The sequence below is a fragment of the Homo sapiens genome, chromosome 2, assembly GCF_000001405.40.
Source record: "Homo sapiens chromosome 2, GRCh38.p14 Primary Assembly".
Lineage (NCBI taxonomy): Eukaryota > Metazoa > Chordata > Mammalia > Primates > Hominidae > Homo > Homo sapiens.
Genome location: NC_000002.12, coordinates 100,943,669 through 100,959,124, shown reverse-complemented (window position 1 = coordinate 100,959,124; position 15,456 = coordinate 100,943,669). Strand labels below are relative to the sequence as shown.

The 15,456-nt window shown below is 47.1% G+C and overlaps 1 protein-coding gene across 21 annotated transcripts in view; it reads right to left on the bottom strand.

Moving 5' to 3' along the window:
• NPAS2 (neuronal PAS domain protein 2) overlaps positions 1 to 15,456 on the bottom strand; it is a 178,107-nt gene that overhangs the window by 37,705 nt on the left and 124,946 nt on the right. For all 21 annotated transcript variants that reach the window (XR_007075420.1, XM_047444506.1, NM_002518.4 and 18 more), the window contains 2 exons: positions 10,770 to 10,890; positions 9,645 to 9,758 (listed from right to left, as the gene is read on the bottom strand). Coding sequence is in view for 20 of the 21 variants with exons in the window: in XM_047444506.1 (XP_047300462.1) it covers positions 9,645 to 9,758; positions 10,770 to 10,890 (235 nt within the window). In the remaining variant the exon portion in view is untranslated. The remainder of the gene's footprint in view (positions 1 to 9,644; positions 9,759 to 10,769; positions 10,891 to 15,456) is intronic.

Genomic DNA, 15,456 nt, shown 5'->3' with positions numbered 1-15,456 from the left:
CTAATTTTAGTTTTGTTTTTTTTTTTTTTTTTTTTGAAGAGATGGGGTTTCACCATGTTGCCCAGGCTGGTCTCAAACTCCTGAGCTCAAATTATCTAACTTCTCAAAGTGCGGGGATTACAGGTGTCAGCCACCGTGCCTGGCCTGGCTTTGCAATTTGCTGGATTAAAAAATGACTCTAAAGGGAAACTACATGTCTTACTCAAATATTTCTTCTTTCCTCTGGCAATTATTAATTAAAATGAGTATTTTTAGGGGCCAGAAGAGTGTAATGGCGTTGAGAAGATATCCACTAGACGGTTGGTGTGGATGGGCCAAATTATTTGTATGTTCAGGAAAGTGAACTTCCCTCGCCCCTGTCTTCAAAGTGGATATCTCACACACATTTTTATCACGATTATGGGACAACTTGTATGAAAGGTCCCCCCACTCCCAGACTGAAACGAGCAGAAAGATGAGGTTGCTTAAAAGCCTGACCATTCCTCATTGTTCCATTTTAATATGAACCCCAGGTGTCTGTGCAGGATGACGCTCCTGGGGCACAATTTTTTTACAGTGATTTTAACTCCCCTGCGATCTCTCTGGCAGCACTGACCCCTGCAGGGGAAGGACGGCCTGATTCTTTGCTGGGTGGAGGGGACACTCTGCTTCCCACTCTTAGAGTCCGGAGTAGATGAGACACTCCTTCCACGAAGCCGTCCACACTCGCGTCTCCATTCCCAGTGAGGTCTGGCGTGCATGCGCTTTGTTCCCTTTTACTGAGGCATCTCAATTAAGCTCAGCAAGGAAAAAATTCAAACCACCCCAAAGCCATAAAATGAGGCAACCTCCAGAAATCCCACGGAACATACAAAATCGAGTGTTGTAAGCTGAAAAGCCTCCACTTCTGCCAGTATTTCAAATCTGGTTGTGCGGTTAGAGGCGAGTAGGTAAAACGAGGGCAGGGAAACTTTTATACTCTGGTGTGTGGTTTCTGGAAAGCCCAGAGTGGAATGTTTGCCGAGGGTGACCTATTTGGAACCACACCAGCAACTTTTGAAATACTGCTTTCTGGATTTGTCAGACACACATCTACATCCAAGTCTGGAGGAGGAGCAAAAAGGCTCAGAGAAAGGATTGCCTTCTTGCATGAAGTTATCTTTCAGGATCTGGAAGCCTGCATATTAGGACCCCGTAAAGCAAAGACCTTTTTTTTTTGAGACTGAGTTTCGCTCTGTCGCCCAGGCTGGAGTGCAGTGGCGCGATCTCAGCTCACGGCAAGCTCCGCCTCCCGGGTTCACGCCATTCTCCTGCCTCAGTCTCCCGAGTAGCTGGGACTACAGGCACCTGCCATCGCGCCCGGCTAATTTTTTCTGTATTTTTAGCAGAGACGGGGTTTCACTGTGTTAGCCAGGATGGTCTCGATCTCCTGACATCGTGATCCGCCCGCCTCGGCCTCCCAAAGTGCTGGGATTACAGGCGCGAGCCACCGCGCCCGGCAGGACCTTTCCCCATGCCTTTGAAAATCACCCGGCCAGTTTCTTTCCACTAAGAGTGGTCAGGTGGGGCTACAGGACTTGGGCACCTGGGGTTTGAGAAAGGAGGCACTATTTCGCTGGAGAAGCAAGAGATGGAATTGTGTATTTGTCTGAAAGCATCTCTCTTTTGTTGTTGTTGTTTAAAGTATCTGTTACAAGCAAACATAGCCCTAAATAAAATCATCTTGTTAAGCTCTATTCTGGAAACAGTTGATTAGAGGAAGAAAAGGGCTGCTCCTACCAGTGGTCCATGCCAGTGCTGCTGGCTGGCCAGGTCCAGCGTGGGCTTTTCAGGGGAAGAGAATAGGACACGGGGTTACATATCCCAGCTCAGAGCCCTCCAAGAGGCTTTGCACAGACTGGGTTAGAAACTGTCCTCAAGTGAAACTCTTCTAAAAAAGACTACTTTCTTGTCCCATTTCCTGACACATATTTCTTCACATTTATTAAAAATCTAGGTTAAAGATGTGAAGTCCTGTCTTCCCTCCCCTGCCCCCAGAACATCTGTGGCAAATGATGAAGCCCTAAGGAGTGACCAAAATGTGCAAACATTGAAGTAGGGGAAAATTCCACTTGGCTGAAGGACCTGAGCAATGGCTGGTGTGTTCACACTGCCAAAGTGAATGGGGGCAGAGGAGAGGGGGGCATCCTCCACTGGGGAACCTGGACATGTCCAGTTGGAGAGTGTAACGTCACCTAGTTCACCAGAGCAAAGGGGCTTTGTTCCTCCCTTCCCCTCAAATTCCTACGAACTCAGCCCCATCACATTGTGTACAGAGCCTGACAAATCCCGGGTAGCCATGTGGGCGAGCAGACAACAAGATGGGATCCTCGTCTGTGTGCTTCAAGGCTCACACAGAGCCCTCTCCAGCTCAGCCTCACCCTTTCTCCTCTGCCCTGGAACCTACACATCTCTCTTTGGTTTGGGGCCTGAGGCTTCCTGTTGATGTGATTTTTGAGTGGTGGCCCAGGGACTCTCTCAGTCTTGGACCAACTCAGTTGATCAGAGGAGCAAGAAGAGAGCGCGTTAGCCGTGGAATACTATACAGCTATGAAAAGAATGAAAACATGTCCTTTGCGGCAACATGGATACAGCTAGAGGCCATTATCCTAAGTGAATTAACACAGCAACAGAAAACAAAATACCACATGCACTCACTGGTAAGTGGGAGCTAAATATTGAGTACACATGGACATAAAGATGGGAGCAGTGGACACCGGGGGCTGCTGGAGGCTGGAGGGAGGAAGGAAGGAGGGGGTGAAGGCTGAGGGGCTGGCTGCCTGTCAGGTGCTGTGCTCACTGCTTGGGTGACAGGATTATTGGTACTGCAAACCTCAGCGTCAGGCAGGGTTCCCATGTGACAGACCTGCACATGTACCCCCTGAATCTGAAATAAAAGTTAAGCCGGGTGCGTGGCTTGTGCCTGTAATCCCAGCACTTTGGGAGGCCAAGGCGGGAGGATTGCTTAGGCTCAGAAGTTTCAGACCAGCCTGAAAAACACAGTGAGACCTCATCTCTACAAAACATAAAAGAATTAGCCAGGTTGTTATAGCATGCGCCTGTAGTCCCAGCTACCCGGGAGGCTGAGGTGGGAGGATCTCTTGAGCCCAGGAGGTGGTGGCTACAGCGAACCATGATGGTGCTACTGCACTCCAGTCTGTGTGACAGAGTGAGATCCTGTCTCAAAAAAACAAACAAACAAACAAAAAACTGAAAATATTTTCAAAAGAGAGAGAGGGTGTCAGGAGCATGGGGCGGGGAGTCCTGAGTAGGGACATCAGGTAAGGGGGCTACTGGCCTCCAAACACCCAAGCAGCTGAAGTGAGGAGGCGGCTTGATGTGGTGGGAGGCACAGAGTGGGTGGGGAGTGCACAGAGCCCACAGACGAACTTCCCCAGCCACTCACTGCTGCTTCAGAGGCCCTCAGTGTGGACAAATCACAAGGCACCAGGAGTGACACAATCCAGTTTACCCAGTGCGTACCCACCTGTGTTCAATCTCCACTTTGGATTTAAGGCCAAAGAAGTGACTGCAGCTCTTCTGCATATAAGTGCACTCTATCCCCAGAGTGTATTGTGGAGCTGGTCTAGGAGAGAGCTCTGTTAGCTCCTAGGGAAGCTCTCTAAGCCTCAAGTCTGGTCTGAACCCTGCTCTGCCCTCCACCAGCTGTGTCCCGGGGCCAAGATCAAGCCTCACTTTAGGTCAACCTATTTTTATCCGCTGCTTATTTATGTGCTGGGTAAGGACCATGCTAGGCCCAGGAAGCGGGTACAGTAAGGGTCGCTGTCCTTCCCATTCCATTATTTATACATATATATAAAAAGGACAGGCATCAAATAAGAATGTACCATGTAACACTCCACTAACTAAACTGCCCAGCAGAAACACTAAGACTTTTCACAGTAATGGACCAAGGTGGGTTTCCTAAATAGTTCATCAAGGTATGAGCAAGTGTCCTATAAAAATACAGCAGATAGGCCAAGGTGGGGTCACCTGAGGTCAGGAGTTTGAGACCACCCTGGCAAACATGACGAAACCCCATCTCTACTAAAAATACAAAAATTAGCCAGGCATCGCGGCACATGCCTGTGATACCAGCTACTTGGGATGCCGAGGCAGGAGAATCGCTTGAACCCTGGAGGCAGAGGTTCCAGTGAGCCGAGATCACGCCACTACACTCCAACCTGGGTGACAGAGCGAGACTCCGTCTCAAAAAAACCAAAAAAAAACAAAAAAAACAAAAAAAACAAAAAAATGATGTTAGTGGTCATTTTTCTTCTACACATATTACCTATTATTATTATTAATATTACATCTTATTTTTTCAACTGTCACCACACCTGGGAACTTGGAGTTGGAGAAGTTGTATGGGGAGGCTTGTGTAATAGCTATGTTTTCTAGTTTCTTTTTTCTTTTCTTTTTTTTCTTTTTTTTTTTTTTTTGAGACACAGTTTTACTATGTCACCCAGGTTGGAGTGCAGTGGCACAATCTCCACTCACTGCAACCTCCGCCTCCCAGACTCAAGCAATTCATATGCCTCAGCCTCCCAAGTAGCTGGGATTACAGGCATGTGCCAACACACCCAGCTAATTTTTGTATTATTAGTAGAGACACAGTTTTGCCATGTTGGCCAGGCTGGTCTCAAACTCCTGACCTCAGGCAATCTGCCCGCCTCTGCCTCCCAAATTGCTGAGATTACAGGTGTGAGCCACCGTGCCTGGCCCACATTTTCTGGTTTCTGTTTTTGATGCTTTGACATCTGGGGCCTTGCTGGTGCTGGAGGGACTGCCTCTCCCAGGGTTAGCCAATTCCTAGAGAGGACAAACAACTCACCTTCCAGGTACCTTTCGTATGCAAAGCAACGCACCTAAAGCTCACACCCCAACCAGGTCCTTCAGGCTCTCATGTCCTGGTCCCTGTCCCCTGACTTAACCAATCCCCGGGCAGACACCAGATAATTAGGGACAGCTCCTCCCTCCCAGATCCCACTACACTTATTCATACTACTCTCTCTCACCCATTCTTTCTCTTGGAATCGACAATAAAGGTTCCCTCGGCCTCCTGACCAACCCCGGTGCTTCTCTGTGTGGCCCTGCATGGTGGGCCATGTGTGCCTCCTGTTCCCAGGGACCCGAGAGCATGAACCTTTCCCTTCATGACAGTCATTTCCATGACTGTGTGTCTTTGTGTTTGATTAAAACACATCTTGGGTGCCCTTCACACAGCCTGGCATGTGGGTGCAGGGCATCTGACATGCACAGGCATTGTAGGCATCATGGATCAGCAGAATGCCAGGAGGCCGGAGCGGGCCTGTGTCTGTTTCATTCCGACACAGATGTGTGAAAGGCAGCAGGCACTGGGGTGAAGAGTGTGGGCTCCGGGTTAGAGGGTCTGGCTGTGAATGTGGGCCCCTGACTTCCCACTCACACATCATAGATGCAACCCTTCTACGTGTCCATTTCCTCCTCTGTGAAGATGGGATGATGCCATAAACCACCTCAAAAGGCTGTGGCGAGGATTACACGATCAATGCAAAGCCTGAACTCTGGGCCGGGTGCTTAGAAAGCACTCCTAGGGTGAGCTTTTTTTGTTACCTCATTGTTCAATGTTTATTCAGAAGTAAACCTATGAAGTCAAATTTGAGTTCTTATATTAAAGCATATCTCATAGGTCACGGTGGTTAAATGTTGGCAATTTTATAGGGTGTTTTTTTTGTTTTTTTTTTTTTTTATGAGATGGAGTTTCACTCTGTCACCCAGGCTGGAGTACTGTGGCGTGATCTCGACTCACTGTAACCTCCGCCTCCCGGGTTCAAGCCATTCTCCTGCCTCACCCTCCTGATAGCTGGGATTACAGGCTAATGCCACCACACTCGGCTAATTCTTGTATTTTTAGTAGAGATGGGGTTTCGCCATGTTGGCCAGGCTGGTTTCAAACTCCTGACCTCAGGTGATCTCCTGCCTTGGCCTCCCAAAGGGCTGGGATTACAGGTGTGAGCCACTGCATCTGGCCTTTATAGGGTTTAACCTGAGAAATTCATTTGTCTCTGACAATTTTTGCTATTTTAATCCCAGTTAGAATGATATTTCACGTACTCCACAGTTACATGGGGAACTCTTGTCTCAAGAAAGCCTCTTCAATGCTGGTTTGTAGAACAGACTCTGAAAAGACACTCCGCACTCTTTCTTTTAAATTTGCCACATTCAGTGCTGCGTGTTTACAGCAGTAATAGTTTCCAAAAAAAAAAAAAAAACCTCACACATAATTTCCACACATTCTTTCAGGCAAACAAACACTATCTCAACCCATAGTGAAAGTAGAGCCCTGCTAGTTAAAAAAAAAAAAAGTCCCAGGTATTCAGAATGAAGCCTGCCTATTTCCTTGAAATCCTCCAAGATGTGGTAAATGACAGGATGCTTCAAAGGGATATTCAGCAGCATCTTAATGAGATCATGGAAATGTAAATTCACAAAGGATACAACTGCTGTTCGCCAGCCAATCACAGGCTAGTTTTTTGTTGTTGTTTTTTTGTTTTTTTTTTGAGACAGAGTTTTGCTCTTGTTGCCCAGGCAGAGTGCAAATGGTGCAATCTTGGCTTACTGCAACTTCCGCCTCCCAGGTTCAAGTAATTCTCCTGCCTCAGCCTCCCGAGTAGCTGGGATTACAGGCACCCGCCATCATGCCCGGCTAATTTTGTATTTTTAGTAGAGACGGGGTTTCTCCATGTTGGTCAGGCTGGTCTCAAATTCCCGACCTCAGGTGATCTGCCCGAAGTGTGTGCACTGTTGTCATGGGGCAAGAGGGAGCAGCATCCTATGATTCCCACAGTCTTGGTGCCCTGAGGGCCAGGGTGCCTTTGCCCTTTGCCCTCTGTGCACGAGGCCACTGGGGTATGTTGCTATCACAGTAGCTGCCATTATGGCCAAAGCACATCTTTTTTTTTTTTTTTTTTTTGAGACAGAGTCTTGCTCTGTCGCCCAGGCTGGAGTGCAGTGGCACGATCTCGGCTCACTGCAAGCTCAGCCTCCCGGGTTCACGCCATTCTTCTGCCTCAGCCTCCCTAGTAGCTGGGACTACAGGCGCCCGCCACCACCACGCCCAGCTAATTTTTTGTATTTTTAGTAGAGATGGGGTTTCACCATGTTAGCCAGGATGGTCTCGATCTCCTGACCTCGTGATCCGCCCGCCTCGGCCTCCCAAAGTGCTGGGATTACAGGTGTGAGCCACCGCGCCTGGCCATCATTTTTTAAAAATTGTGGTAAAACACATATAACAAAGTTTGCCATCGTAACCGTTTTGAAGTGCACAGTTCAGTAGGGCTGAGTATATTCACACTGCTGTGCAACCATCCCACCATCCACCTCAAGGACTCCTTTCATCCTGCAAAACTGAAACTCTGTCCCCATTTAGCAACTCCCATTTCCCCCTCCCTCCAGCCCCTGGCACTCACCATTCTACTTTCTGTTTCTATGAATTTGGCTATGGTACCTCATGTAAGTAAAATCATACAATATTTGTCCTTTGCTGTTGGCTTATTTCACTCAGCATAATGTCATCAAAGTTCTTCCATGTTGTAGAATGTCAGAATTTCCTTTCTTTTTAAGGCCGAATAATATTCCAGTGCATGTATATATCACACTTTCTTTATCCATTCATCCACTGATGGACACGTGGGTTGCTTCCACCTTTTGGCTATTGTGAATAATGCTGCTATGAACACAGGTGTGCAAATATCTCTCAAGTTCCTGTCTTCCCTTCTTTTGCGTGCATACCCATAAGTAGAATTGCTGGATCATATGCTAGTTCTATGTTTAATCTTTTGAGGAACCAGTGCACACGTAAAGCAAATTCCAAATCACTGTTTACATTAACTCAATGATAAAGTTGTCTGGGAGGAAGGCCATTGCATTCTCCACAGAATGGCACTGGTATCACACTAGGACAGTGCTTTTCAAAGTCCACAGCCCCTGGAACCAGAACCCCACAGTACTCCCCAACGGCACATTCCTGGGTCCTACCCTCCCATCTCCTGAGCTAGACTCTTTAGGGCAAAGGCTGAGAGTCTGCATTTTAATAAGTTGCCTCACCCAAAGAACCACTGCGCTAGGGTTAGTACGATGCTGGGTTCTCTACAAGGTGCCTCTTAGGTCAGTTTCTTTAACTGAGTAGCCCAACGAGAGCTTCCATTTACTTCTTTGTGTGGTTCATTAAACATTCATTTCATGAAGTTTAGACAAGCCTTTCAGATGAGTAGGATGAGGCATGGTTAGGCCTTGGCCTCATCTGACTTTGCCCAGATGTAGGGGCCCACCTGGGACGATGGACTTCCCACCACTTCCGACCATCTTAAGCCCTGGATGGGTCTGTTCCCAGAAAGGCCTCCCAGTCAGCCAAGGAGCCCACCATCCAGGCATAAGCCCTGCACCCTGGACCTGAAAATCATGCTGGCAGGATCACACTAAAGGTTTAGCATCTAGTTGGAGCCTTTTAAACAAAGCATGTATATTTATGCAAATAACATACAACAAAGGACCATCTGAGGTAGAAGGAAAAATCCTGGTTAGATGTGAGGACTTGGTGCCATTACTTTGGCTGTTTCTAATAGAAACCCTGGGACAAATTTGACTGAAGGAATAGACCCACCACGTCCAGAGTGAAACAGTGGTCAAGAACGCAGCAGAAGTTAATGCTGTCATCATCTGCTCTCTGCATCTCCCCCTCATTTCTGCAGCTCATCTTTCTGTTTTTGTTTCCTTTGGTATTTTTCTCATTTCCTCTTTTTTCCCCCATTCCCTGTCAATGCTTTATTTTATTTTTTTTCCATCTTTGCTGCTTTATGAAATGTTAGCTGTTTCAAAGTTATTTGTTTTGTGTTGAGTTTGGAGGAGCCCAGAAAACAAAATGCAGGCCATGCTGAGCTCAGCCCATAACCAAGTTGGCTTAGGACTTGGTTTCTGAATTCCTGGCCTCAGGCCTGCATTTCCATTTTGCATGGTTCAAAAGTAAAAATAAGTGTTTTAGTCTCGTTCAGAGTTGTTGTCTCTGTAGCCAGAGTTTGGTTAATCAGGTAACCGGGTACTTTCAGAAAATAAGACTTTGCTACTTGGCTTATCCTGCTTGATAATTCATCCAATGCAGATTCCTGGCTCATTGTAAAATGACCCCTTTGCTGTGCATGAGGGCCACAGTGAGCAGAAGACCTACGGACCAGGTCTACTAAAATACGCTCATGACAGTACTGCAGCGGGAGGGAAACAGTGTGGAAGGCAAGGTTATGGATCATCAAGTCACCACGAAGGCCTGTTTGGCAGAGCCTGTTCTTTATTCCCTGTATGTTGTTTCTCACAGTACAGAATTATTTCATCAGCCCGAAGATAAATAAATGAATAATGTGTGTTTCAGTGGGACTGTGTGCACTGGCACAAACAGGTGTGGGAGTGTGTTCCTCTTGAATGGGAGAGAACATCGATGAGCACAAAAACACATCCTGGGAACTCGAAAATTCAAATGCAAATGTGAAAAGCACGCGTTCTCCCTCCTCCTCCCTGGGCGATTCTTAATGCCCCCATGTGCACGTTTGCATGAGAAAAGACACTGTCACAATTATATGACAATTAAAGCTTACCATTGTTGTAAGAGCGAAAATTTCCTACAAATTTTATGTATTCATAAGTTGGAAATTCCTTTGGGTTCAAGCTGCCTCTGAGAAGATGGCAATAAAACTCTAAATCGCTGTCAGCTGGGCCGTTAAAGGAAGAAGAGGAGAGAAAGGGGTCGTGAGCATTGCACAGACTCTAAACAAGTAGCGTCTCTGTGAAAACTCTTATGGGATTTAGTCTACACATGGCCAGGCTAGTTCTCTCACTACGACTGACTTTTGGGCCTGGTTTGTAACCTTGCTGCACAGGGGTTTCCTTCCATAGTTCATAGATATTTTGCATTCCATACATGGACCCAATTAGTCTTAATTTGCTCCCAGATGTCTGTGGTTGGTAATGTTGGCATTGATTAGTTCCGGCTGTTTTCATATGGTATGTTAAAATAAAGCGGCTCATATAGAGCTGCTCCCTTTAATTTAATCTTTTTGCTTTGCTTTGAAGTAAAATCAGATGTACGACAGGACAGATTATTCATGGAAAATGGACACAGGCTTGCACTGATGCAAGCAGCTTTGCTACCTCATGCAATTGTGTATGCTTCATTAAGTGACCCGTGGTTCACGAGGCATCAAGGTTAGCCTTCTACCTAGGTTGCCAAATATTTTGATAAAAACGTCTGAATTCCACAGAACACAAAAATGTATATAAATAACCAGGTGAGAGCCTCAGGAGGACAGAATTTGGATTTTTGACCTAATTATTCCGTTTTCAGTTGGTTTCTTGATATTATATGAATTTAGTATCTTAGTATCCTCCATGATGAGCTGATTGTTCACTGATGTTTGCACTGTTTCTTACTAAAAGACTCTCATGCAAAAAAAAAGAGAAATCTTATCATATACACAAAATAAATTATTATTCTTGAGTTCTCTGCTTTCAAATTTTCCACATAAAAGCCAAATGTCTTACATATTCCAAATTCCAGTTTTAGCTTTAAACCTAAAATATACCTCTAAGGATCTTGGAAATGTTCTGAGTCATGAGGAAAATTATTCTTAAAATTAGTTCTCCCTTCTTAATTCATTCTAACCTCCTTTCAAAAGCAAAATTCTTATCTTTCTAGCTTGTAAAACCAGAAAAATTAAACTTACATTTTAAGTATTCTGGGGAGGGGGAATCCGTCACAAGCATATGGGAAGAAAGGATTTTATAAACTTCTGAATGTTCTTGTTCTGGGAGGAAATTTAACAAATTCTGATCCATGACATCCGACTGAAAAAGAAAATAAAGGACAAAGGTACACCCTCAACGAAGATGAAAAACAGAAGCAAAAACAAAAATTGAACATTCACAACAACGCAGAACTGGTTTCTGAAATGGAAAGTTCAATATCTGATTTTCTGTGGACACTCTCAGTTTATCACTCCATTGTTTTAAATAGTAACCTAAAGGGCTGTATTTGTTCAAATGCATATGTGCTGTTGTCTGTGGGCCAAGGAGGGAACTAAGAGTGAAGTCAGACAAATGTAGGAAGGACTGAGTCCTCCTGTTGCTTGAGAAGTGCTGTTTGCTGACACTCCTGCGTTTTGGCTGGGGTAGCATGGCCCCTGTGCACGCCCAGTGCGAGGCCAATCATTGATTTAAATGGCTCCAAAGAGCCCACAGGGTTCCTTTCCTGACCCTTAGGGCAGCAAAGGGCTGCCAGTCTACTTCGTAAAGGTCTTTAAGTTATGGAACTGCACGTTTTCTTCTGAGTGCCTTGGCACTGTGGTTACAAAATAAATACAAGGTAGAGTTCAGATTGAGTGCTGTCCAATAGAACTGTCTGTGATGATGGAAATGGTCTGTAATCTGTGCTGCCCGTAACAGGAGCCACTAGCCACATGGTTACTGAGCACTTGAAACGTGGCTAGTGTGAACAAGGAACTGAATTTTAATTTGTTTTTTTTTTTTTGAGACAGAGTGTTGCTCTTGTTGCCCAGGCTGGAGTGCAATGGTGTGATCTCGGCTCACTGCCAGCCTCCACCTTCCAGGTTCAAGCGATTCTCCTGCCTCAGCCTCCCAAGTAGCTGAAACTACAGGTGTTTGCCACCATGGCCGGCTAATTTTTTGTATTTTTAGTAGAGACGGGTTTCACCGTGTTGGCCAGGCTGGTCTTGAACTCCTGACCTCAGGTGATCCGCCCACCCCGGCCTCCCAAAGTGCTGGGATTACAGGCATGAGCCATCAAGCCTGGCCCATTTAATTTGAATTGAAATTTAAACAGCCACATGTAGCTAGTGGCTACCATATTGGATATGCAGGTAGGAGCTCACAGTGGACCGAGGAGACAGGCACCTCTCTCTTCCTCAGTTTCCCTCAATAAACCCATCCACTCTCACAGCTTCAAACACAATCTGTATACACTTTCAGGTTTGAATATCCAGCCAACTCTCTCATGTTCCAGCCTCAGCCTTCCAACTGCCACTCAGATGCTCCCTGGGGACCACAGATGAATACATGTCCTGAACATCGGCATTCTTTCCCACCCATATCATCTCCAACCCTTGTGTTTGCATCTCCATCAACAGTATCATCAGTTGGTCATCTGCCTGTCCCAGACCCTCTGGTGGCGCCTTTGTCTTCTCTCCTTCTCGTCCTTACCCTCAAACCAAACAGTGTCCATAGTACTGCCCATTTTTCTCCCTCAAATTCTCTGCTCCATTCACTTCTATTTCTCCAGCTTCCACCCTAGTCCAGACCCCCATCCTCTCTTGCCTGGGAATGATTTGGCCAAACTGGTCTTCCCACATCCACTTTAGTGCCTGTGCAATTTGTTCTCCATCAGCAGTCAGAGGAGCCTCATAACAGATCAAGTCACAACTGTCCCTTGGCTTCCGACTGCTCCAGGAACAAAGCCTCAACTGCTCAACACAATTTCACAGCTCTTCACAGCTCAGCCTCTGCCTCTCCCAGCTCCCAGCACTTCTCTAATCCTTCCGAGCCTTTTTTCCTCCAGTTTGCCTTCTGTTCTCCCCGAGCCTCACCTGGGCTGTTCCCTCAGGCAGGAACATGCTGCACCCTCCCCTTGTGTTTAACGAAGCCCTGTGCAACCTTCAGGTCCCTGCTTTGAAGTCACTTCCTCTGAGAAAGCCCCAGGTGACACCCTCCACCCCCACTGATGATTTAAGGGGCTCTGAGGGGACAATGACCCCCTTGATGGGACATCAGGTGACATGGCAAGGCGTGAGAGCTCAGAGCCCAGGCTTGAAAGCAGGTTCTACCCCTCCATGCTGCATTTTCCTCAGCTGCAAGGTGAGGAAACCATGAAGGTTCCATGAGCTCACCTGCCTCCACTGCTGATAAAACAGCACGTGGCAGACATTCAATAAATGCCAAGTGCGATTAGGCACTGAATGACCAGTTACAGAATGACTACAAGGGCACCTGCACCACAGTAACGTTTTCCTGTACAGCTATGTGCTGAGTTGAGCATTCCGCCTCCCTCTCTCCAACAGGAGCTTCAGGAGAGCAGGGCCCAGTGCCTTGTTCACCACCACATCCCTGATGTCCAGGATGGTGACTGAACTGACCAGCTGAAAGAATGGCGTGGCCAGCACTATGACAGGCATTAAAACAAGGTGCCCGGAGAACACTGTGGATGGTGTGCTGCCTCCACAATGAAAGGGTAGAGGAGACTCCTGGGGAACAATTTCCAGAGGGAGGAATCCTTGAGTGGGAGCCAGGGGACAAGACAGTGTCTGCCAGACAGGGTGGGAAGGTGCTCCAGCCAGGGGGCTCAGCATGCACAGAGGCATAAGGTGGGTACCCTGACAGCACTGCAGGAAGGTGGGAACAACAGGGAGGGCGAGAAGCCATGACAGAGGAGGTTGCACAGGGAAGCAGGGCCCAGATGAGAGAGGCCTCGGAGGAGTCAGGGCTCGACCCTGTGCCAGGAGGAGCCACGAAGAACCTGAAGGAAGGGGGTGGCAGAACTGCTCGTGCATTTTAAAGAGATCCTGCTTGTAGTCTGGAAGGAGAGAGCACTGGAAGTCAGGCTGGCAATGGCCAGGGTCCCAAGAGAGACAGGGGAAGGAGTGGAGAGGAGCAGACAGAGTCCCAGGCAACTCATCAATATCGTAGTCCAAACAATACTTGCTGAGGGCCGCCATGTGCCAGCCGCTGTTGGGCATGGGGAAGACACGTTGGGAAGCAGGCAGAGCCCCTCCCTGCCTGCAGTCAGTGTTCCGGTGGGTGTGAGGACAGTGGACACAGCTTGGTGGCTGATCGGAGGACAGGAGGAGGGAAAGGAAGGACTCAGCATGGCTTCCAGGCTCTGGCTCGGACGCACCGGTCTTTATCTTTATGGACGAAACTCTACCAGGATCCTCTCTCGTCTATGCTACCATTTCTCATTCTGGCTTTCTCCAAGTTTCTTCGGATGTTCCTGGTTTTATTTTAAGCCCATTCTCTCTAGTTTTTTTAGAAGATGACTCATGTTCACAGATGACAGTAGTCTTTCTTCATAAAGATATTTCAAATACTTGAAAATGAAAACTAAGTGACTCCATGGCCTCTTCTTGGAGGGCTCCATCTGAAGCCACTTCCCCTGACGGTGGGTGTGGCAGAGAGCAAGGCTGAGTGGCTGCCTGGCCGGGTCACCTGTGTGAGAGAACTTTACTGATACAGGTCCGAGGGCCAATATCAGGACACGGGTTCTGCACAGAATAAAGACGAACGCTGGATGCAAGTAGGGGCAGGTATGATATGTGGGAGGTTGCGAGGATGGTGAATTAACACACAGAAAGGGCCCCAGACTGTGCTTGGCTCTTGCATGTATTTGCTAGTACATTGCTATTATGCTACTTCCACATGCTGAAAACCAACACAAACAATGATAACTTGAAATTTTTAACCCTAGTGCTTACAGGTGAGAAAATTACATCGGCAGTTGAACGGTCCCTTGAATGAGCTGAGTTCTGTTTATTAAAATAATAGCAATTATGGAGACAAGGGAGGGAATGTGCCATCCACAGCCGTCTTTACAGCCGAGTCCCACGATCGGGAAGGTCACCTGCCTGTGGAGGTGGGCAGTCCTCTCTCCTAATTGCCTGACGGGCCTTGAACCAGCAGCACCAGTGCAGGGACACCCAGCTATGTTAAATGAGCCTGTACTAAAAGCACACTGAGGCTGAGCTGGAAGTAGGCTGGATGGACACTTCCTCCCAGAGTGTCCCTGAGGCGCTCTGGCAGTTTTGGCTTGAGATCTGTGCTGGCTGCAGTGAGAAGAGGCAATGGTGAGCAGCCCTGGAGAAACTTCACCTTGAGAAAAGAACGGCTTAAGAGAAGTCACTGGGGCCTTGGTCTCCCTAAAGGTCCAGGAAGTTGGAGGCATATTTGATCCACTTAGATTCAGTTTAGATTCAAAGTCAAACTAACGGCCATATGGTTAAGCTTTCAGAAGGTAGTGTAGAGAATGGCTTTGACTTTGTAATAGTAAGAATTAATTGAGATATAAAAGGTACCAATTATACAGAAAGAATCTCTGTTCATCAAAATGCCCTAAAAAAGGGGGAAAGGTAAGCCACAAAGTGAGAGAGGGTATTTGCAACACATACGTCTGTGGTATGGCCCAAAATTAAGGTTCTAAATTATATGCTGCCTTGGCATCTGGTAAAATTGGAAGGGCCTCAAATGGCCTAACTGCAGGTTCCCTCCCCACACAGACCCATGGATGAGGTCCCCCAGCCAAGCCCCCATCTCTTATCATGGGGACAGGTACAGTTTCTGCTCATCCCTGAGTAGCAGGTTGTGGAATTATTCAAACATGTCAATCATGTCCTCCTGTGGGGACCAGGG